At 47.9% G+C, this 21,784-nt stretch overlaps 1 pseudogene across 1 annotated transcript in view, besides 2 other annotated features; it reads right to left on the reverse strand.

Moving 5' to 3' along the window:
* The window catches only part of PKD1L2 (polycystin 1 like 2 (gene/pseudogene)), a 119,520-nt pseudogene extending 104,653 nt beyond the window's left edge, over nucleotides 1–14,867 (reverse strand). The window contains exons 1-5 of the transcript NR_126532.3: nucleotides 14,543–14,867; nucleotides 10,718–10,879; nucleotides 9,482–9,667; nucleotides 2,964–3,074; nucleotides 1,961–2,108 (exon numbers count right to left, since the gene is read on the reverse strand). The product of NR_126532.3 is annotated as a polycystin 1 like 2 (gene/pseudogene), transcript variant 1, non-coding (transcript). The remainder of the gene's footprint in view (nucleotides 1–1,960; nucleotides 2,109–2,963; nucleotides 3,075–9,481; nucleotides 9,668–10,717; nucleotides 10,880–14,542) is intronic.
* Nucleotides 6,890–7,390: an enhancer, noted in NCBI's record as "H3K4me1 hESC enhancer chr16:81246022-81246522 (GRCh37/hg19 assembly coordinates)". NCBI's record gives its function as "activates a minimal SCP1, AML or CMV promoter by ChIP-STARR-seq in naive H9 embryonic stem cells {active_cell/tissue: H9 hESC(naive)}" and the evidence as "EXISTENCE:reporter gene assay evidence [ECO:0000049][PMID:30033119]".
* Nucleotides 16,356–16,574: a silencer, noted in NCBI's record as "fragment chr16:81255488-81255706 (GRCh37/hg19 assembly coordinates)". NCBI's record gives its function as "represses an EF-1alpha promoter that drives an FKBP-Casp9 reporter gene in an ReSE screen in K562 erythroleukemia cells {active_cell/tissue: K562}" and the evidence as "EXISTENCE:reporter gene assay evidence [ECO:0000049][PMID:32094911]".

The raw sequence follows: 21,784 nt of genomic DNA on the forward strand, positions 1-21,784 counted from the left end.
TTAGACTAATGATGAGTTAAGAAAAAGGAGGCTGCACCAACACATAAGAGAAAAGCACAGTGATATTTACACAAAAAAATGTGGCTTCCGTACATTCAAAAATCAAAATTCATGCTATTTTCCCTATCATAACCTGAGTTCTGTGGCTGCTAGTATTGATAAGAAGGCATCAGAAAGGCATTTCCCAGTGTTTATAAAAATGATTTTTAAAAGGTGGGTGGTGACCAGGCACAATCGCTCACGCCTGTAATCCCAGCACTTTGAAAAGCCGAGATGGGCAGATCATCTGAGGTCAGGAGTTCAAGACCAGCCTGGACAACATGGCAAAACCCCACCTCTATCTACTAAAAATACAAAAATTAGCTGGGCGTGGTGGAGCATGCCTGTAGTCCCAGCTACTCGGGAGACAGAGGCAGGAGAATCGCTTGAACCTGGGATATGGAGGTTGCGGTGAGCCGAGATCATGCCACTGCACTCCAGCCTGGGTGACAGAGCAAGACTCTGCCAATCCTCCACCCGCCCCCCCCCCCCCCAAAAAAAAGGTGGGTGGGTAGTTTCAAGGTCCAACAAATCTTTAATGTAAAGGAAGATGGACTATTTGGGTGGGGCAATGGTGGAGGAGGTGCCACCATCTATTTCCTTTGAAAGAGAAAAAAATGTCAGTGATTGTTGTTTAGAGCTAATGCCCAGAGAGACTGCAAATGTCAAACAGTGCTGTGTCTTAGATTTTAATCGCACAAAAACTTCCAGAGAATAATACAACAAACACCCTTGGATTCGCCATCCAGACTTAACAAACATTAACATTTGGTCCCATTTGCTTCTGTTCTAAACCACTGTTTATCACTGAAAAGTCCTGTGTAGCTGTGGGTCATAGCGGGGCTACATTTAGGCAATTTTGACTTATGCCAAATTCAAGTTCTACAAGATTTGGGGGCTGAAAGATTGTGTAACTTACAATCTGTCGTTTTCTTTACAAACTCATAGCAGTCAGGAAGAAACCCACAGAACAGTGGCATAGGTATTTGTATCACCCAGATATTTGCCCCCAAAACATCACTGTAAATAGTTTCTCATTTGACACCATGAAACATTCAAGGCAGCCACGAACACAAATGTGACAGGGGGCCATGTGCTGTGGCTCACACCTGTACTACCAGCACTGTGGGAGGCCGAGGGGGTAGATCACTTGTGGTTAGAGGTTCGACACCAACCTAGCCAACGTGGTGAAACCCTGTCCCTACTAAAAATACAAATATTAGCCAGGCATGGCGGCACATGCTTGTAGTTCTAGCTACTTGGGAGGCTGAGGCAGGAGAATCGCTTGAACCCAGGAGGTGGAGGTTGCAGTGAGCCGAGATCGAGCCATTGCACTCCAGCCTGGGCGATGGAGAAAGACCCTGCCTCAAAAAAAAAAAAAAAAAAAAAGAAAGAAAGAAAAGAAAAGAAAAGAAAACCTATGAGGTAGAGTGTTTGCAAAAGTAGCAGCAACAGTTCCTCCCATCCCATATAGAAGCACCTCGCAGTGTGGCTCCACACTCCTTCTATCAGTAGGTGGGGTCTATTCCTCCACCTCTTGAATCTGGTCTTGGCCATGGAACTTGCTTTGGCCAACGGTATCTTAGAAAATGTAACACAAGCAGAGATTTGAAAAAATGTTTGCGCATTGGGCTCCGCTGCTAGGAACACTGTGTGAATGAGCCTAGGCTAACCTGTTGAGTGATGAGCAGCATATGCTTCTAGCTGACATCCAGCTGACCACTAGGCATGTGAGTGAGTGAGGTCTTCCCGGACAGCCTACCCCAGCCAACTCCACTCAGACAAGAAAAGCCGCCCAGCTCTCCAAAGAACCGTAAGAAATGGTAACTATTGTTTTAAGCCACCAAGTTTTGGGTTGGTTTGTTATGTGGCAAAAAAACTGATGATACAACCTGGCTCAAGGCTCAGAGATTTCTCTTACCTCGGCGGGTTGTAGGGATCAAAAGTGTGGCTGTCTCCTGTACTAATTATACAGGACAGGTTTCCTATGTAGGGTGAGAGGAGCCACGTCAGGGAGATGGTGACATTGTCAAAGATGAAACTCTCACTGGACACCATCAGCTGCAGGGCTGTGGATTAAAACATAAAATGCTGCATGCACTTGTGAAGCAAAATTGCACATTTCTGTTTATAACCGACTCTCTTCTGGCTACCTGTCCAGTATTTTTATGTGGGTCTTTTTTTTTTTTTTTTTTTTTTTCTCACAGGGTCTTGCTCTTTCACCCAGGCTGGAGTACAGTGATGCGATCATGGCTCACTGCAGCCTCGATCTTTCCAGGCTCAGGTGATCTTCCCACCTCAGTAGAGACTGAGTAGCTGGGACTACAGGTATGTGCTACCACACCCACTAATATTTATTTTTATTTTTTGAGACAGGGTTTCACTCTGTCGCCCAGGGTGGAGGGCAATAGCATGATCTCTGCTCACTGCAACCTCTGCCTGCTAGGTTCAAGTGATTCTCCCACCTCAGCCTCCCAAGTAGCTGGGATTACAGGTGCATGCCACTACGGCTGGCTAATTTTTGTATTTTTTGGTAGAGACAGAGTTTCACCATGTTGGCCAATGGTCTCGAACTACTGACTTCAAGTGATCTACTCCCCTCAGCCTCCCAAAGTCCTGGGATTACAGGCATGAGCCACCACACCCAGCCTAATTTTTAGATTTTTTGTAGAGACGGGGTTTCTCCACGTTGTCCAGGCTTGTCTCCAACTCCTGGGCTCAGACTATCCTCCTCCCTCCCAAAGTGCTGGGATTACAGGCGTGAGCCACCGCGTCCAGCCAAGGGGAGCAACTTTGAATGAGGGAGTCTCTTAGCACACAGAGATCAGCCCACGTGGGTGGCTGCTGTCTCTGTTTTCAGGGGAAGCTGGACATGCCATAAAATCAGAGGGACATTTCTATGCTCAAGCAAGTCGGGGACTCACCTTCCCGGCACTGGTACTGCACCCACAGGTAACTGCCCTGAGTCGGACACAGGTTTCCAAAGTAGGTCTCATCTGCTGCCACCTGGCATGACTGTAGCTCCTGGCACTGGCCTGGGAAGCACGCACATCCCAGCGGAAGCAGGAATGGTGTGCAAGACAAAAGAGGATACATTCAACAGAGCTGTACAGAGATGAATGGCCTCTCACCCACTCATTCATTTACCCACCATCCGCCCAACAAATAGCTTTTGATATCTCCTGAAGACCAGGTACTGGGCTAGGTACTCAGGTGAGGGAGAAGTAGGATTTCTGTCCTCAAGTAGTTCAGGGTCTAGCATCCTGGTCTCAAACTTCAGCTTGCAACAGATCCCCCTGTGAGTCTTGTGAAGATACCATATTCCAGACCCCACCCTCAGCGATTCTGATTCAGTAGGTATGGAGTGCAGCTGGAGAATATGCATTTCTAACCAGTTCCTATGGGATGCTGATCCTGACATTGCTGGCCCAGGGACCCCACTTCAAGAACCACTGGTCCAGCAGCGTCTAGAGAGATGGCCCAAAATAGAAATCTACACCCAGAGAACCGGCAGAGGAGGCAAGATTAGGAATCCTGCGTCTATCATGGTACCACATGCCCACAGAAGGGAGGAGCAGGGACAGCCCATTCCAGAAGCTTCAGGGTCATCCAGCACCTCTCCCTCCTGCCCAGCGAGATCTGTTAGATGCCCACAGGGAAGCCTGGGAGAAAGAAACAGGTCCAGAACACCCACCTGTGCTTCTCCCAGTTACCTGCTAGGTCCCACTTCTTCTGGGCAGTTGGCCCTGGGCCCACAGAGCCACCCTCACCCTGCCATGCTTGTATCACAGCGAACTACATTTTCCAAACTCCCTTGGCCACTGGCTCCCAGGTAGGCTTGGCCAATGGCCGGCACTACTGAAAGACTGGAGGGTGGTGTATTCATTTCCAATCACTGTTGTAACAACTTACCACTAACTTAATGACTTAAATCTACATAGATTTGGCTGGGAGTGGTGGCTCACACCTATAATCCCAGCACTTTGGGAGGCAGAGGTGGGCAGATTACCTGAGGTCAGGAGCTCGAGACCAGCCTGGCCAACATGGCAAAACCCTGTCTCTACTAAAAATACAAAAATTAGCTGGGCGTGATGGCACATGCCTGTAATCCCAGCTACTCAGGAGGCTGAGGCAGGAGAATAGCTTGAGCCTGAGAGGTGAAGATTGCAGTGAGCAGAGATCACGCCATTGCACCCAATCCTGGATTACAGAACAAGACTCAGTCTCAAAACAAACAAACAAACAAAAACGCAGATTTTTGTCCAGGTATGGTGGCTCATGCCTGTAATCCCAGCAATTTGGGAGGCTGAGTCAGGTGGATCACTTGAGGTCAGAAGTTCGAGGCCAGACTGGCCAACAAGATGAAACTCCATCTCTACCAAAAATACAAAAACTAGCTGGGTGTGGTGGCACGCGCCCGTAGTCCCAGCTACTTAGGAGGGTGAGGCAGGAGAATCACTTGAACCAGGGAGGTGGACGTTGCAGTGAGCTGAGATTGCGCCACTGCACTCCAGCCAAGGCAACAGAGCAAGACTTTGTCTCAAAACTAAAATAAACAAAAATAAAGCAGCACAGATTTTTTAAATCTCACAATTCTGTATGGTGGTCAGAAGTCTGGGTGGGCTCAGCTGGCCTCTGCTCATATCACAGGGCCGACACCAAGGTGTCAGGGCTGTGTTTCTTTTTTTTTTTTTTTTTGAGATGGAGTTTTGCTCTTGTTGCCCAGGCTGGAGTGTAGTGGTGCGATCTCGGCTCACCGCAATCTCTGTCTCCCAGGTTCAAGCGATTCTCCTGCCTCAGCCTACTGAGTAGCTGGGATTACAGGCATGTGCCACCACAACCAGCTCATTTTGTATTTTTAGTAGAGATGGGGTTTCTCCATGTTGGTCAGCCTGGTCTTGAACTCCCAACCTCAGGTGATCCACCTGCCTCGGCCTCCCAAAGTACTGGGTTTACAGGTGTGAGTCACTGCCCCTGGCCATTTTTTTTTTTTTTTTTTGATACGGAGTCTCGCCATGTCACCCAGGCTGGAGTGCAGTGGTGCCATCTTGGCTCACTGCAACCTCTGCCTCTCAGATTCAAGCAATTCTCCTGCCTCACCCTCCTGAATAGTTGGGGCTCCAGATGTACACCACCATACCCGGCTAATTTTTGTATTTTTAGTAGAGACAGGGTTTCACCATGTTGGACAGGCTGGCCTTGAACTCCTGATGTCAGATGATCCACCCACCTCAGCCTCCCAAAGCACTGGGATTACAGGTGTGAGCCATCGTACCCAGCCTCTTGCTTTTTTTAAGCATCTCTTCTCCCTTGACACAGCAGTTCCCCCAGTGGAAGCTCCAATTAACTGGCAGCTGTCAGCATTTAACTAGACTCAGACCCTACCCCCCAGGATTCTGATTCAGTAAGTATGGGGTGCAGCTGGAGAGTGTGCACGTCTAACAAGCTCCCAGGGGATGCTGATCCCGATACTGCTGGCCCAGAGCCAGCTGGAACAGAGCATGCAGAAATTTCAACCCCATTTGCAGAGTGCATACAAGGTGCTACACTCTTCCCCCAGGTTCTCCTGACCCTCACAGGAGCCCCATGAAACTTAGAAAGATTCTGCAACTTGCCTGGATCACCCAGGCAGCAGGGGCTGAGCTGGGATTTGAACCCCAACCTGCCGCCCTTTTGCCATGTACCCTGCTGCCCACATCCCAGGGGGTTCTGCCCCATCCTTGGACTCGGTCTAAGCAGTTTGCTTAGACAAACTGGGGGTGGCAGCAGGGCTCACCTTCCAGCTCACAAATTAAACCACGCATAATATTCAACATCCCCTTGTAATGGATAAACTGCCTCAAGACGCAGAGGCCACGTCCCTGCTGAGGTTTTTTTCTAATACTGTTGTTACCCAGCGAGACCATCCTGGGCTCTCTCTCCACCATCACGGTTCATACTGCAGTCCACACCTGAGCCTGCCACCTCATGTCCTCACCACCTTGTCCCCCAGTCTTTCTCGTGGCTGGATCCTGCACTTCCCTCACAGCCAGGCTCCTGATGCCGCCCCCGTAAAGCTTTCCTGAGCCCCACCTCCACCCCGTGATCTGGGGGGCCCCTCTGATCAAAAGGGAACACGAGCCACCACCACATCTCTGTTCTCAGATTAAACAGACTCAAAGAGAGGTCTAATTCCAGAACTTGAGGACAGAGTTTTTTCTATGACTCTTCGTAGCCACATATAATCCACTTAAAAAAAAAAAAAAACTAAATCTGATCTAATTCCAGGATTTAACACGCCTTGCAGACAAAATTTAAAATCCCTTCAGGTCCCCAGATGCCTTGAGGCTCAGAATGTGGCCCAAAGACATTTGGGATCCTAAGTGGCATCACTTGGGAGTGAGTTGGAAATCAAGTCGGAGGTTTTTAAAAATTTTTGGTTCACTGCAACATCTCCAGGACATAGAACAGTACCTGGCACATAGTAGGTACAAAATAAGTTTTGCATGACTAAATAGATAGTGTTTGCTCTTCTGGGTTGCGGCATTTATCACAGCATTAGTTAATTGCCTGTATATCACTGTCTCCCCACTCCGCCGCAAGCTCTTTGAAAAACAGAGCTTGGGCCAGGTGCGGTGGCTCATGCCGGTAATTCCAGCACTTTGAGAGGCCAAGGTGGGTGGATCACTGGAGGCCAGGAGGTACAGACCAGCCCGGGCAACATGGTGAAACCCTTTCTCTACAAAAAATACAAAAATTAGCTGGGTGTGAGGGTGCTTGCCTCTAATTCCAGCTACTTGGGTGGCTGAGGCAGGAGAATCGCTTGAGCCCGGGAGGCGGAGGTTGCAGTGAGCCACGACTGTGCCACTGCACTCCAGCCTGGGCAACAGAGCAAGACTCCATCTCAAAAAAAAAAAAAAAAAAAAAAAAAAAAAAAGCACCACCAAAAAAAACCAAGTGTTTATTGGCTAACTGAATGAATGAGGGACCAGGGTGCTTAGATACAGACCCCGCGGGATCCTCTCTGCGCTCCTCCTCCGACTCCCACAACAGGGCTCCCCTCTAACGTGCTCTCTGAGCTGTGGGTACCACATTTCAGGAACTTGCAGCTGAGCCTTTGAGGAAACAGCTCACTAAGCCCCAGCAGTGCCTTGGTGAGGAAGGTACATCCATTCTCCCGTCCGGGGCCCTTTCTCCTTGCAGGGGCCACAGCCTCAGGAACGCTGGAGTAAGAAGAGTCAGTGAAAACCAGCCAGCTGATTTTAGCGTTTCCTTTCCCCATGCCTGCTCCAAAAGGCAGGAGGACAGAGGAGCCATTCTCAGTTCCCCGAGGCAGGAGAAAGTTCTGGGAGTACTGGCGTCCCTCCCTGAATCTTCAAAGGGTCTTTGGGCAGAAGCAGAGGCTCAGAGGAGAGTGCCAAAAGGCACAACTGGGGAGGCTGGCCCCCAGGACCTGAGGCTTGCAGCCTGGCCACACGGGGCTGTGTCCTCACTTAGCCAAGAAGCAGCAGGCCACTTGCTTTCCTGGACCCTCCAGCGGGGACAGTGGTGACTGCAGCAGAAAGAAGAGGGTTTCCCGATGTCCTGGACCAGGGAAGTCTCTGAGGAGTTTTTACCTCCTAGCAGGGTGCAAGAAACCCCCATAATCCCGGAAATTGAATCCTAGTCACTGGGCAAGCGCAACTCAGAAGTAGATTTAATCTGATTTAGAAAAACAAAGCCCTAGAGTAACTCTCCCACGTGAACAAGATACCATCTATCAGGAGCTTGGCTTCAGCGTTATTCACAGTCACAGAGATTAAGAACCAACCTTTCTCAACAGGAGAAGAGACAAATGGCGGCACAGTTACACAACAGATGAAACAAATAAACCAGCACAACATGTATCAAGACGGATAATACATCTCAAAAACAAGATGTTGAGCAAAACACAGGAACCAAAATGAAAAGAAAAATGCATTCTATAGAACGACACACAATATGATACCATTTATATAAACATTAAAACCCTGCAAAGTGGCCAGGCACAGTGGCTCACACTTGTAATCCCAGGAAGGCCAAGGTGGGCGGATCACCTGAGGTCAGGAGTTCGAGACCAGCCTGGCAAACATGGTGAAACCCCGTCTCTACTAAAAATATAAAAAATTAACCTGGTGTGGTGGCGCACGCCTGTAGTCCCAGCTACTCGGGAGGCTGAGGCACAAGAATCGCTTCAACCCAGGAGGCAGAGGTTGCAGTGAAAAGAAATTGTGCCACTGCATTCCAGCCTGGGTGACAGACTGAGACTCCGTCTCAAAAATAAATAAATAAAAAATAAATTAAAAAAATAGATTTAAAAAAAAGCCCTGCAAAAGCAACAGTCTGTAGTGTTTAGGAATACGTGCCTAGAAGGTGAAAATAAAGCAGGCGCAGTGGCTCACGCCCGTAATCCCAACATTTGGGGAGGCCGAGGCAGGCGGATGGCCTAAGCTCAGGAGTTCGAGATCAGCCTGGTCAACATGGTGAAACCCCGTCTCTTCTAAGAATACAAAAACTGGCCAGGAGTGGTGGCACCTGCCTGTAATCCCAGCTACTCGGGAGGCTGAGGCATTAGAATCGCTTGAACCCAGGAAGCAGAGATTGCAGTGAGCTAAGATCGGGCCACTGCACTCTAGCCTGGGCAAGAGTGAGACTCTCTCTCAAAATAAAGAGAGGGATCCACAGGAGTCTCCTAGTGTTGTATTCATTTTTCTTTTTCCTTTTTCTTTTCTTTTTTTCTTTTTTGAGACAGAGTCTTGTTCCATCGCCCAGGCTGGAGTGCGATGATCTGATTTCGGCTCACTGCAACTTCCGCCTCCAGGGCTCAAGCGATTCTCCTGCCTCAGCCTCCCAAATACCTGGGATTACAGGCATGTGCCACCAGCCCGGCTAATTTTTGTATTTTTAGTAGAGATGGGGTTTCACCATGTTGGCCAGGCTGGTCTGGAATTCCTGACCTCAGGTGATCCACCTGCCTTGGCCTCCCAAGTGCTGAGATTACAGGCATGAGCCACCACGCCCGACTGTATTGATTTTTCTAACGAGGGAATCTTAAGCAAATGAGGCACGGTGTTCAGATCTGATGAAGGTGGGTAGTAGATCTGTGGGAGTTCATTACAGTATTTTCTATTCTTGTCTATACGTTTGGAGTATTTCAAAAATTTAAAAATTAAGTTAAAAAAGTGATGTTTCCTGCATCCAGCAGGGGTCGAGGCACGCCATGCCCACCAGATCCATGGCTGTGTTTGATGTCGGGGAGGGTGGACCACAGCCCCCTGCTTCCTTGCTCCGTGCGATGGGCAGGGACTGGCCAGTTTTCCCCCATGTTGGAGGCCCACGGTCAGAGATGAAGATTATCAGAGGCTTCCGGAACCCTTTGCTGAGCACAGAATACCAGCAACTGCCCTCTGCTGGCCGCCAGAGCTGCAGAGCCCTTGGGCCCTACCTGCCACCTCCTCCTTGACGTTGGCCCAGCTGCATCCCTGCTCCAGATCTGAAGGACGCCCGGCATCCTGGGTGCAGAAATGGGGATTCTGGCGCCCGTAGACGGCATCCTGGACCTGGATGACCTGCCCCAAGCCACAGTGCACGGTGGCATTGAGTCCCTCGCAGGCCAGGCTCTGGCCAACCCCTGAGGCAAAGGGAAGGCAAGACATTAGGGGGGCTCACGGTTACAGACAGGTGAGTGCCGGTTCACGGGAAGAGGAGGGTCCCGGGGGTTGGGCTGAGATGCAAGAACCCGATAGGAGCCGCTTGGCAGGGGTGATAAATTGAATATGATTGTCGGCAGCATTGTGCTGAGCCAGGTTCCCTGGGATCAGATCCAGCCCAGCCACACACTGCTGCTGTGTGACCTTCAGCAAGTTAGTTAGCTTCTCTGTGCCCCCACTCTCATACTAAACCTCATGCAGGCCGGGCTCCGTGGCTCACCCCTGTAATCTCAGCACTTTGGGAGGCCGAGACGGGCGGACCACTTGAGGTCAGGAGTTCGAGACCAGCCTGGCCAACATGGTGAAACCCCGTCTCTATTAAAAAAAATACAAAAATTATCTGGGGATGGTGGCTCGCACCTGTAATCCCAGCTACTCGGGAGGTTGAGACAGGAGAATCACTTGAACCTGGGAAGCGGAGGTTGCAGTGAGCCAAGATCACACCACTCCAGCCTCAGTGACAGAGCAAGACTCCATCTCAGAAAAAAAAAAAAAAAAAAGCGGGAAAGACAGAAACAGAGATGAGACAGGTGGGCAGGCAGGAAGGTGGGCAGGTGGATGGGGACAGGGCAGGGATGAGTGACGGAGCATCACGTGGGCAGAGAGAGATGCATAGAGACAGGGAGAGAAAGCTGCGGACAGAGGTAAGGTCAGAAAAACACACACAGGTCAGCTCTTCAGCAGGGAGATGGGGACAGAAACCGGCAGGCCCTGAAGAGCGAGAGGGAGACAGAGAGACCACAGAGGCAGGAAGAGAGTCAGAGACCAAGGGAGAGAAAGAGAAAGAGTTAGAGAAAAACAGAAGGGGAAGAAAGACCCAGAGAAAACTGAGACAGGGGAGGCGGCAAGAGAAAGAGAAGGTCAGAGAGATGGAGGCAGGAACAGGAGGGAGAGGCGAGCCTGGAGAGAGGCCTGCAGGCAGGCAGGGAGACAGGGTGGGAGATGGGAACTCAGGGGCACGGGCCACTCACGGAACTCGCACATGAAGGCGAAGGTCTGGGCGCAGTCCGAGGTCACCCACTCAGAGGAAGGGCCTCTCCCGATGTGGCCGCAGGTGTCAGGGGCAGCGGCGGCCTGCCCTCCATGCCAGTTGCTGTAGGTCACATTGGAGGTGTCCAACCAAGTCCCCGGCCCTGGAAGGGCAACACGACCACCAGGACTCAGTAACTGTCTTCAAACTCCATTTATACAAATGCAGGACTCACGCCTGCTCTGCCGCTGCTGGGCAGCAGGTCAGCAATTAATGTTGATGGGATGGAGACCTCTCTCTCCAGGACCAATAAAGTTCTCTTCCTCACTGTCATCATCAAACACTCAATGTAAGAACTGGAACACCAAATTGGAGAGCTTGCAAAAGGTGCTTTGATTAAATAAATGAGGCTGCCAGCTCTGTCTAACCATAATCAATAATTTATTTATTTTGAGATGGGGTCTTGCTCTGTCACCCAGGTTGGAGTGCAGTGGTGCCATTTCAGCTCGCTACAAGCTCCACCTCCCAGGCTCAAGTGATCCTCCCAGCTTAGCCTCCTGAGTAGCTGAGACCACAGGTGCAAGCCGCTATGCCTGGCTGATTTTTTTGTATTTCTGGCAGAGACAGGGATTTTGTCTTGTTGCCCAGGCTGGCCTCCAACTCCTGAGCTCAAACTCCACCCACCTCAGTCTCCCAAAGTTCTGGAATTGCAGGCATGAGCCACCACACCTGGCCCTGAGCACAGTCTAAGGAAGAGCCAGGGGCCAGGCCCAGTGGTTCATGCTTGTGATCCTAACATTGTGGAGGTGGGAGGATCACTTGCACCCAGGAGTTTAAGACCAGCCTGGGCAACCTAGAGAGACCTTGTCTCTACAAAAAAAAAAAAAAAAAAATTTAGTCAGGCATGCTGCCTGTGGTCCCAGCTACTCGGGAGGCTGAGTTGGGAGGATTGCTTGAGCTGAGGTTGGGGCTACAGTGAGCCATGATCGTGCCCCTATATTCTGGCCTGGGAGACAGAGCAAGACCCTGTCTCAAAATAATAATAATAATAATAATAATAATAATAATAATAATAAAGTCCAGAAGTGGGCTAAGGGATGTTTTAACATATCATCTTCTTCATAAGCTGTGTCCCTTGCCAAGTACACCTGGGCAGTGCTGAGTTAAAACATGAGCAGTTATTGTTACTTTGGGCCTCTTCAGATCCTTGAAAATACTGATGTAACTCTTTAAAAGGAGTGTGTGTGTGTTTATGTGTGTGTGTGTGTGTGTGTAAAACAGAACCATGTCGAGGACACCAGAGAGCTAGAAAACACTAAATATCAAAATTTACTATGGATTGGGCATGGTGGCTCACGCCTGGAATCCCAGCACTTTGGGAGGCCAAGGTGGATGGATCACTTGAGGCCAGGAGTTCAAGACCAGACTGGCCAACATGGTGAAACCCTGTCTCTATTAGAATTACAAAAATTAGCCATAATTCCAGCTACTAGGGAGGCTGAGGCAGGGGAATCACTTGAACCCGGGAGGCAGAGGTCGCAGTGAGCCAAGATGGTGCCGCCACTGCACTCCAGCCTGGGAAACAGAGTGAGATTGTCTCAAAAAACAAACATTTATTATGGGTACTCAGAAACGTAATTATTAATTTATTGAAAGAGACTCATGCAAATGAAATGGTTTTAAAAAATCCAAAGGGTCTAAAATGAAAGTATCTTCCCTCTCCAAGCTATGGGCTTCTCCATCATTGTTATGTTTCTCATAAATGATTCCAGGATGAATTGAATTGTATCCACACATCAGCATCTATGAGTGCCTGAAATCTACTTACATAAATGTCATGTGATTGCACACAGTATCTGGCCCTTGCTTCTTAAATGACATTAAATATTGGAGGTTGTTGCCTATCAGCCTAGTTAGAACTACCTCATTTTCTGCAACAGCCACACGGTATCCCTGGAGAGGTGTTAATAGGCACACCTCCTCTAGCTGGATGTGAAAGGATGTTCAATACACAGAAATCGGCAATTGTTGCATCTACACCTCAAGAAACCATTCAGGAGACATTGTCTGCAGGGGCGTCTTAAGAATTCAAATCCCCTTGGCTGTGGGTTTTCTTAAATGAGCTTCCCGGTAGCTCATTTATTAAAACACTTCCATCCACGCTGGTGTTGTTCTGTGGCTGTTCGGCACAGGCCATGTCTCATTTCTCAAACCCAGTAGCTTCTACAGGGGCAAAGAGAACCTCTGGGTACCAAGGTGCCCAGTAGGAAAGTCAGGCTTAGCATTGCTCTGACTGGTAGAGACCCCACTGTGCACCACCAGCTATGTCATGTTGAGCACGTCTTTTCTCTCTAGACTTCATTTTCCTCCTCCGTGAAAGGAGAGTAGCCACGCTTACCTCATGGGATCCGTGTGAGGCTTAAATGCAAATGTTTTCTTGTCCATTCTCTCTCTCTCTTTTTTTTTTTTTTTTTTTTTTTGAGACAGTTTCTCTCTGTGTTGTCCAGGCTGGAGTGCAATGGCACAATCTTGGCTCACTGGAACCTCTGTCTCCTGGGTTGAAGGGATTCTCCTGCCTCAGCCTCCTGAGTAGCTGGGATTACAGGTGCGTGCTACCATGCCCAGCTAATTTTTCTATGTTTAGTAGAGATGAGGTTTCACCATGTTGGCCAGTCTGATCTCGAACTCCTGACCTTGAGTGATCCACCTGCCTCGGCCTCCCAAAGTGCTGGGATTACAAGCGTGACCCACCACGCCCAGCCTCCTTGTCCATTCTCAATTGTGTCTAGGCACTGGGAAAACAAAAATGGCCAGGGTATGGTTCTTTCCTTGAAGGGCTTGTAGTCTAGGAGGGAGACAGACAACTTAGCTGTTTAAGCCACAGCAAAAGTACTGCCTTGGAAGTGTGAACAGGGCCCTGCAGGCTCGTAGAGAACGACTCACCTGACTGCACTGGGTGGGGGAAGGAGCCTTCAGAGAATAAAGGAGGACTAAGACTTTCAGGACCATTAAAATTAGACTGTGAATGGAACTATGCTAAGCACTTGGTCTGCTTTAATGTCAGAGCAAGTGGGGAAAGACAAGTGGGACACTTTAAAAAATAGCTTAGTCATTATTTTCTGAGACTCAGTTTTCTCATCTGTAAAATGGGGACATAAGGCCGGGCGCAGTGGCTACCACCTGTAATCCCAGCACTTTGGGAGGCCAAGGCAGGCGGATCACAAGGTCAGGAGATCGAGACCATCTTGGCTAACACGGTGAAACCCCGTCTCTATTCAAAATACAAAAAATTAGCCGAGCATAGTGGCATCTGCCTGTAATCCCAGCTACTTGGGAGGCTGAGGCAGAAGAATCACTTGAACCAGGGAGGCAGAGGTTGCAGTGAGCCGCGATCGTGCCACTGCACTCCAGCCTGGGCAACAGAGAGAGACTCTGTCTCAAAAATAAATAAATAAATAAATAAATAAATAAATAAAAAATGGGGACATGATTTTTCTCATTGTTATTGTAAGAATTCAACATGATAGTGACAACGAAGCACTCAGGATAGTGCCTGGCACTATCCTAGCAAGAATCAAAGCAGTCAGAGTATTACTATTAGGAACAGGCAAAGAAGCGAACATTTCTAGAGGGTCAGAATTTGATGTGCCAGATTCTGTGCTAGGCATTAGACATGAATTATTTAATCCACAACACAACCAAAGGGAAGGGTATCCATACCATGAGAATTAGGTCGTATTAATTTGTTCCATGTTTCTTTGGGTGAGAAGTGATGGCAAGAATTGCAAACACAAGTTTCTCATAAAACAGCGATCACGGCACCTACCCTCCGTGGTTCCATTCCGTGCCAAGTTCCACGTGAGTCCAATCCACCATTCCCTGTCCTGGGAGATGTGCTTCTGCAGAAACCACTGGGTGCCTTCGTCCTGAATGAAGACCAAATGGCCTCCTTGCCCCTCGCACCAGCTCTGGGCATCACGGAAGGTGCGTCCGAGTGGCACAAATTCATAGCAAGCATCTCTGAAGGCCACCTGGCTGTTAGAGCAAAAGCTGCCTTCCTCTGGCTTAACAGTGGTGGCCCTAAGCCTCAGAGCAAGCACCAGGAGTACCAAGCCCACTGCACTCATGCTTGAACCACTGCTGGGGCCTCTGGATGGAGCTCGCTCTTGGGACTTTCATATGCGGGTGCCCTCACATCCACCCGTCATCCATCTTCCCTTCTGTCTTTGCATCACATAATGGCAGCTACCTTTTGTTGAAGAAACAAAAGGCTCAGCTTGACAGTGTCTGCGTTTTTGCGTCACCCAGCTCTTTGTTCCACGCCTGCTCCAAAGCCTATTAATTTGTCAGATGGTCTTCTCGGGAAAGATAAAGTTGCTATATCACCTGTCTGCTTATCTTTCAGTCAACTGTTAGCGGTGGATAAAAAGTCCTTGCTATTGGTTTTATGTCATTACCCTGAGGGCTGTATGTTTCGTGCAAAGCCATCAGCATGTGGGAAGTGTGTGATAAAAGAAAAATGGGAGGAAGGTTGGAGAATGGCAGGAAGGCAGGAAGACGGTAAAGAAACCAAGTTGCTTTTATATCCAAGCCCATTGTGCCGAGCGGCAGCTGTGCCCAAATGATACCCATTCTCTCCCCAGCGTGGCTGAAATCCTAATAGATATTTGGTCCCCTCTCTGATTCACCACATTATTCATCACCCATACCTGCTGGAGAATAAAAATCCCCTAAAAAATTTATTGGATGTCATAAGCTCAGAACTGACCATCCTTATCCACTACTTACACCTTCCCGTGGGTTTCCATGGTCCATGGATCAAGTTCAAATTTCCTAGCTTTGTATACAAGGCTTTGTATGGTCTGGCCTCCGAGAGTATTTCCAAACACATCCTCCCAAATGTGGAGAAACAAGCTGTCTCTCTGCTTGCTGGTGGTAAATTGGTACAACCTCTATTGTGGGCAATGTGATAATATCCATAAAAATTTTAAAAGCACAAACTCTATAATGTAGCAATTACACATCTAGGAATTACACCAACAGGTAAATTCATACATGTGTGAAATGCCATATGAATAAGATTATTCTTGGCAGAATTTGTTAAGAAGGAAAAATTGGAAACAACCTAAATGTCCATTGATAGGAAACGGGTTCACAAAACATGGTCTATCATATATAACCACTTTTAAAATGAACAAATTCTTCCTCTGCAAATTTGGAAGGATCCCTAAGGTTTTTGTTTTTTATTTGTTTGTTTTGAGACACAGAGTCTCGCTCTGTCGCCCAGGCTGGAGTACAGTGGCGCAATCTCAGCTCACTGCAGCCTCCACCTCCTGGGTTCAAGCAATTCTCGCGTCTCAGCCTCCCGGGTAGCTGGGACTACAGGCAGGCACCACCACGCCCTGCTAATTTTTTGTATTTTAGTAGAGATGGGCTTTCACCAAGTTGCCCAGGATGGCCTCGAACTCCTGAACTAAGGCAATCCACCCACCTCAGCCTCCCAAAGTGCTAGGATTACAGATGTGAGCCAATGTACCTGGTGAGATTTTTGTTAATATTAAAAGCTAAGTATGAGATATTGTATATAATTCAGTCCCATTTGCATAAAAACATATCTAAATATTTATTTGTATGTGTATAATATAGCTCATAAGAAACATACAAGAGGCCGGGCGCGTTGGCTCACGCCTGTGATCCCAGCACTTTGGGAGGCCGAGGTGGGTGGATCGCTTGAGCTCAGGAATTCAAAACCAGCTTGGCCAACATGGTGAAACCTGGTCTCTACTCAAAACAGAAAAAAATTAGCCAGGCATGGTTGTGCATGCCTGTAATGCCAGCTACTTGGGAAGCTGAGGCAGGAGAATTGTTTGAGCCTGGGAGGCAGAGGTTGCAGTGAGCTGAGATCACGCCATTGCACTCCAGCCTGGGCAACAAGAGTGAAACTCAGTCTCAAAAAAACAAAAACAAAAACAAAAACAAAACAACAACAACAAAACACATACAAGAGCTGGACGAGATGACTCACACCTATAATCCCAAAACGTTGGGAGGCCGAGGCGGGCGGATCACCCTGAGGTCAGGAGTTGGAGACCAGCTTGGCCAACGTGGCAAAACCCCATCTCTACTAAAAATACAAAAAATTAACCAGGCGTGGTTGCATGTGCCTGTGATCCCAGCTACTCAGGAGGCTGAGGCAGGAGAATCACTTGAACCTGGGAGGCGGAGGTTGCAGTGAGCCGAGATCACACCACTGCACTCCAACCTGGGCGACAGAATGAGACTCTGTCTCAAAAAAATAAAAATAAAAGCCCATAGTTGGATGATGTGGTCTGCATAAGAAATTAGTAATCTGAGGTTACAGAGGGAGACTTGCAATGTGGTGAGACCCTGGAGTGTTCAGAAAAGGTGTAAGGTATATAATTCCTCCAGCCAGAGACATTAGAGAATGCAGTTGTCTAATATTTGGCTTTAGACCGTTAACTTGCTCTGACATAAGTCACTCTTTCTCTTTCCCCATTGCCCCTCCTCTATCACGTGGCAACCTCTAATCTTTTTTTTTTTTTTTTTTTTTTTTTTTTTTTGAGGCGGAGTCGTGCTCTGTCATGCAGGCTGGAGTGCAGTGGCTCGATCTTGGTTCACTGCAACCTCCACCTCCTGGGTTCAAGTGATTCTCGAGCCTCAGCCTCCCGAGTAGCTGAGATTACAGGCGCGTGCCACCACGCCCAGCTGATTTTTGTATCTCTAATCTATTTTCTGACTCTATGGATTTGCCTATTCTGGATGTTTCACCTAAATGGAGTCATACAATACGTGGACTTTTGTGTTTGGCTACTTTCACTTAGCATCATGTTTTCAAGGTTCATCCACGTTGTAGCATGTACTTCACTCCTTTTTATGGCTGAATTATATCCCATCCTATGGATAAACCACATTTTATCTATTATCGGTTGATAGACATTTGGGTTGTTTTACTGTGTGAATTTCTTAGGGAAGGGACATCTCTTAATCTCTGTCTACCCCATGTCTGGCTCATAATAAGACTCAAGGAATATTTGCCAGCCTGGCCCCATCTCCCAGTTCCCTGGAGATTACCCTGTTGCCTCTGTCATTTTCCTAGAAACCACTGCAATCCTTCTGGAGTGACCCTGCCAGACAGAGAATGGGAAAGGGCTAGAGCCCAGGATAGGATGCAGGATCGTTGCTGACTCAGGCTAGGACACAGGCTGAGCAGAACAGGCCTGTTATCTCTAGAGGTCAACCTTCTAATAACTTTCCTTCGAAAACTCTGTGGAAAGTCACACGCAGTGATAATAGAAAGGGTAAAGGCTTAATTTATGTCCCTAATGGAAGTTGCTTGGGGACATTTGATAACAAATGCAAATCTGCAGGCTAAATTCCATGTTCACATTCTTTACATTCTGATAAATTGCAGACTCCTGGGCACAGTGTTCTTCTTGTTGACATCAGCTCCCAATGTCCCTTAACCTCTGTGTGCATGAAGCTCCACTGAAAGTAGTCAGGACATGGCTGGACCCTGTGAGCATTATTTCCAGTGATCTGATCCAGCTGTCTGAGCCTCCAAGTGGGATCAGCAATATGAAAACAGAAAGACAGCAAGTTTGGTTTAAATAAGGCATTGAGGCCAGGCACAGAGGCTCACGCCTGTAATCCCAGCACTTTGGGAGGCTGAGACAGGTGGATCACCTGAGGTCAGGAGTTCGAGACTCAGCCTGACCAACGTAAAGAAACCCCAACTCTGCTAAAAATACAAAATTAGCCAGGCATGGTGGCAGATGCCTGAAATCCCAGCTACTGGGGACGCTGAGGCAGAATTGCTTGAACCAGGGAAGCAGAGGTTGGGGTGAGCCAAGATCGCACCATTGCACTCCAGCCTGGGCAACAAGAGCGAAACTCCATCTCAAAAGATAAAAAATGAAAATAAGGCATTGAGTCCATAAAAAGAACCATAAAGATAGTTATGCCCTGTTATTCCAGTTATTCCAGTCTGGGGAATATTCCCATCTTACTTTGAGTCCCCCAGAAGCCAACTGAGACCAAGATTAAGAGCAAGGAGTCTATTTGCTTTTTGTTTTCGGGTTTTGTTTTTTTTTTTTGAGACAGTCTCACTTTGTCACCCAGGCTGGATTGCAGTGTCGCCGTCTCGGCTCATTACAGCCTCCGTCTCCCGGGTTCAAGCAGTTATCCTACCTCATCCTCCTGAGTAGCTGGAATTACAGGCACACGCCATCACATCCGGCTAATTTTTGTATTTTTAGCAGAGATGGAGTTTCACCATGTTAGCCAGGCTGGTCTTGAACTCCTGGGCTCAAATGATCCGCCCTCCTCGGTCTCCCAAAGTGCTGGGATTACAGGTGTGAGCCATTGCACCTGGCCTCAAGGAGTCTATTTGGGGGGGAATCTAGGAAGCCCTGGCCGGGGAAGAGGAGTATATTTCTCTATAGGAATTGGCGGCTTTATCAGTCATATTTAATCTTGGTTCTCCTTTAGATCGTAAAGAGAACACAGCAGAAGAATTCCCATGGTCCCATTACCCTAACACATTTTCATTTCTTCAGGGTTCCTTCATACACCTTGTTCCCTTGAAGACAGGTGTTTTCCCAGGCACTACTGTAGTGTCTGTGATTAGTTCATAAGCATTTCCTGCTTAGCATTAGACAGGAAGGCTTTTCCATGTTGCTAATGGGCTTTGAAATTGACATGGTGGTGGCAGAGCCTCCTTTTACTAAATGGACATTGCTAAATCAGTCCCATATTGCTGGACAGGTCATGTGGATTTTAGTCATCTGTTTCTCATTTCTCAACACAACTTTGAACATCTTCTTGCATGCATGCTTTAGCCTGGGCTGAGTTATCTCTTGAGGATTGTAGCAGACACTATCAGTGCTCACCCTAACCCACACACCTGCCATGCAGACATCTGTGGCTCTGCCTCCCTCTGCATATGTGCGACAGGATGGAAGTGCCTGGAAGTTAGCACCTCTCAGGAGAAACTCTCAACCTTGACTGAGCAGAATTGGTGAATCAATGCCCTGACTCCTGAAGATAACTCTGAGGCGTGTTCCCACCGGCTCCAGGAGATCCCCAGCCAGACTGAGTTTCAGTTGCTCATGATGGTGATAGGCTTGAGAATGTATTGTTAACATCTTTTCTCCTCCTTTATCTTAGGTCCTCATTCCCCTGCTGTTATTTCCTAGGTTCAAATCTTAGGCTTCTCCAGAGAAACAGAATCAATAGGAGATAGACAGATCAATAGACACAGATAGATAGATAGATGCATAGATACGTAGACACATAGACAGATGAATAGATAGATGGATATTATAATAATAAAAAAAGAAAATCAATAAATAAAGCAAAAAAAAAAAAAAAAAAAAAAAACCAGAGCCAGGCACGGTGGCTCACACGTGTAATCCCAGCACTTTGGGAGGCCGAGGCAGGTGGATCACCTGAGGTCAGGAGTTTGGAACCAGCCTGACCAAAATGGTGAAACCCCATATCTACAAAAATACAAAAATTAGCAGGGCATGGTGGTGTGTGCCTGTAATCCCATTACTCAGGAGGCTGAGGTAGAAGAATTGCTTGAACCTGGGAGGTGGAGGTTTTAGTGAGCCAAAGGTTTCAGTGAGCCAAGATTGCGTCATTAGACTCCAGCCTGGGCGACGAGAGCAAAAACTGTCTAAAAAAAAAAAAAAAAGGAACCAAATAGGCCAGACACAGTGGCTCATGCCTGATGCCTGTAATCCCAGCACTTTGGGAGGCCGAGTCAGGTGGATCACTTGAGACCAGGAGTTTAAGACCATCCTGGTCTACATAGCGAAATCCCTTCTCTACAAAAAATACAAAAATTAGTTCGGTGTGGTTGCATGCCCCTGTAATCCCAGCCACGTGGGAGAATGAGGCAGGAGAATCATTATGATCATGGAAGCTAAGAAGTCCATAATCTGTTGTCTGCAACCTGGAGAACCACGAAAGCCACTGGTCTAACCCTCTCCAAGTCTAAAGGCCCAGGAACCAGGAGCTCTGATGTCCAAAGGCAGGAGAAACGGATATCCCAGCTCATTTTTTGTTCTACTCAGGTCCTCCATGATGCCCATCCACACTGGGGAGGGTGGGTGTGCCTTACTCAGTACACTGATCCAAATGCCAGTCTTTTCTGGAAACAACCTCACAGACACATTCAGACATACTGTTTTACCAGCTCTCTGGGGAATCCCTTAGCCCAGTCAAGTTGACACGTAAAATTAACCATCACAACCTCCCAAATAAATTTCTTGCTCTTGAATCCTACTTCTGGGGGAACCCAAGCCTAGACAGACATATTCCCAGGACGAGGGCACCTGGACCACAGGGGTGAATATCTTCATGATTCTTGTTGTAGACTCAATGCCCTATTTAAACCAAATTAATTATCTTTCCGTTGCTCATGTGACCGATCCCACCTGAAGACTAAGACTGGTAGATCAAATCCCAGGACGTACCCTCGCACAGCCAAGTGGGGTCCTGGGGTCCTGACTGCTTCCCTGATGGCTTCAATTCTGTACTTGGAGACCATCTTTGAGCAACTGATAACAACCTCAGTCTTTGGAATGATGAGCTCTTGATTATTTATTGATTTATTATTTATTGATTTATTTATTGTAGAGATGGGGTCTCACACTGACACCCAAGCTGGAGGGCAGTGTCATGATCACAGCATACCACAGCCTCAAACTCCTGGATTCAATTGACCCACCCGCCTCAGCCTCCTGAGTAGCTGGGACTATAGGTATGTGCCACCAAGCCAAGCTAATTTTTAAAAATTTATTTTTTAGAGACGGGAGTCTCTGACTCAGCTTCCCAAGTAGCTGGTACTATAGGTGCACACCACCATCCCTGGCTAATTTTTGCATTTTTTATAGAGGTGGGGTTTCACCATGCTGGCCAAAACTCCTGGCCTCAAGTGATCCATCCACTTCTGCCTCCCAAAGTGCTGGGATTACAGGTATGAGCCACCACGCCTGGCCCCAGCTAATTTTTTTTTTTTTTTTTGAGACGGAGTCTCACTCTG

This window comes from Homo sapiens, chromosome 16, assembly GCF_000001405.40.
Source record: "Homo sapiens chromosome 16, GRCh38.p14 Primary Assembly".
Classification (NCBI taxonomy): domain Eukaryota; kingdom Metazoa; phylum Chordata; class Mammalia; order Primates; family Hominidae; genus Homo; species Homo sapiens.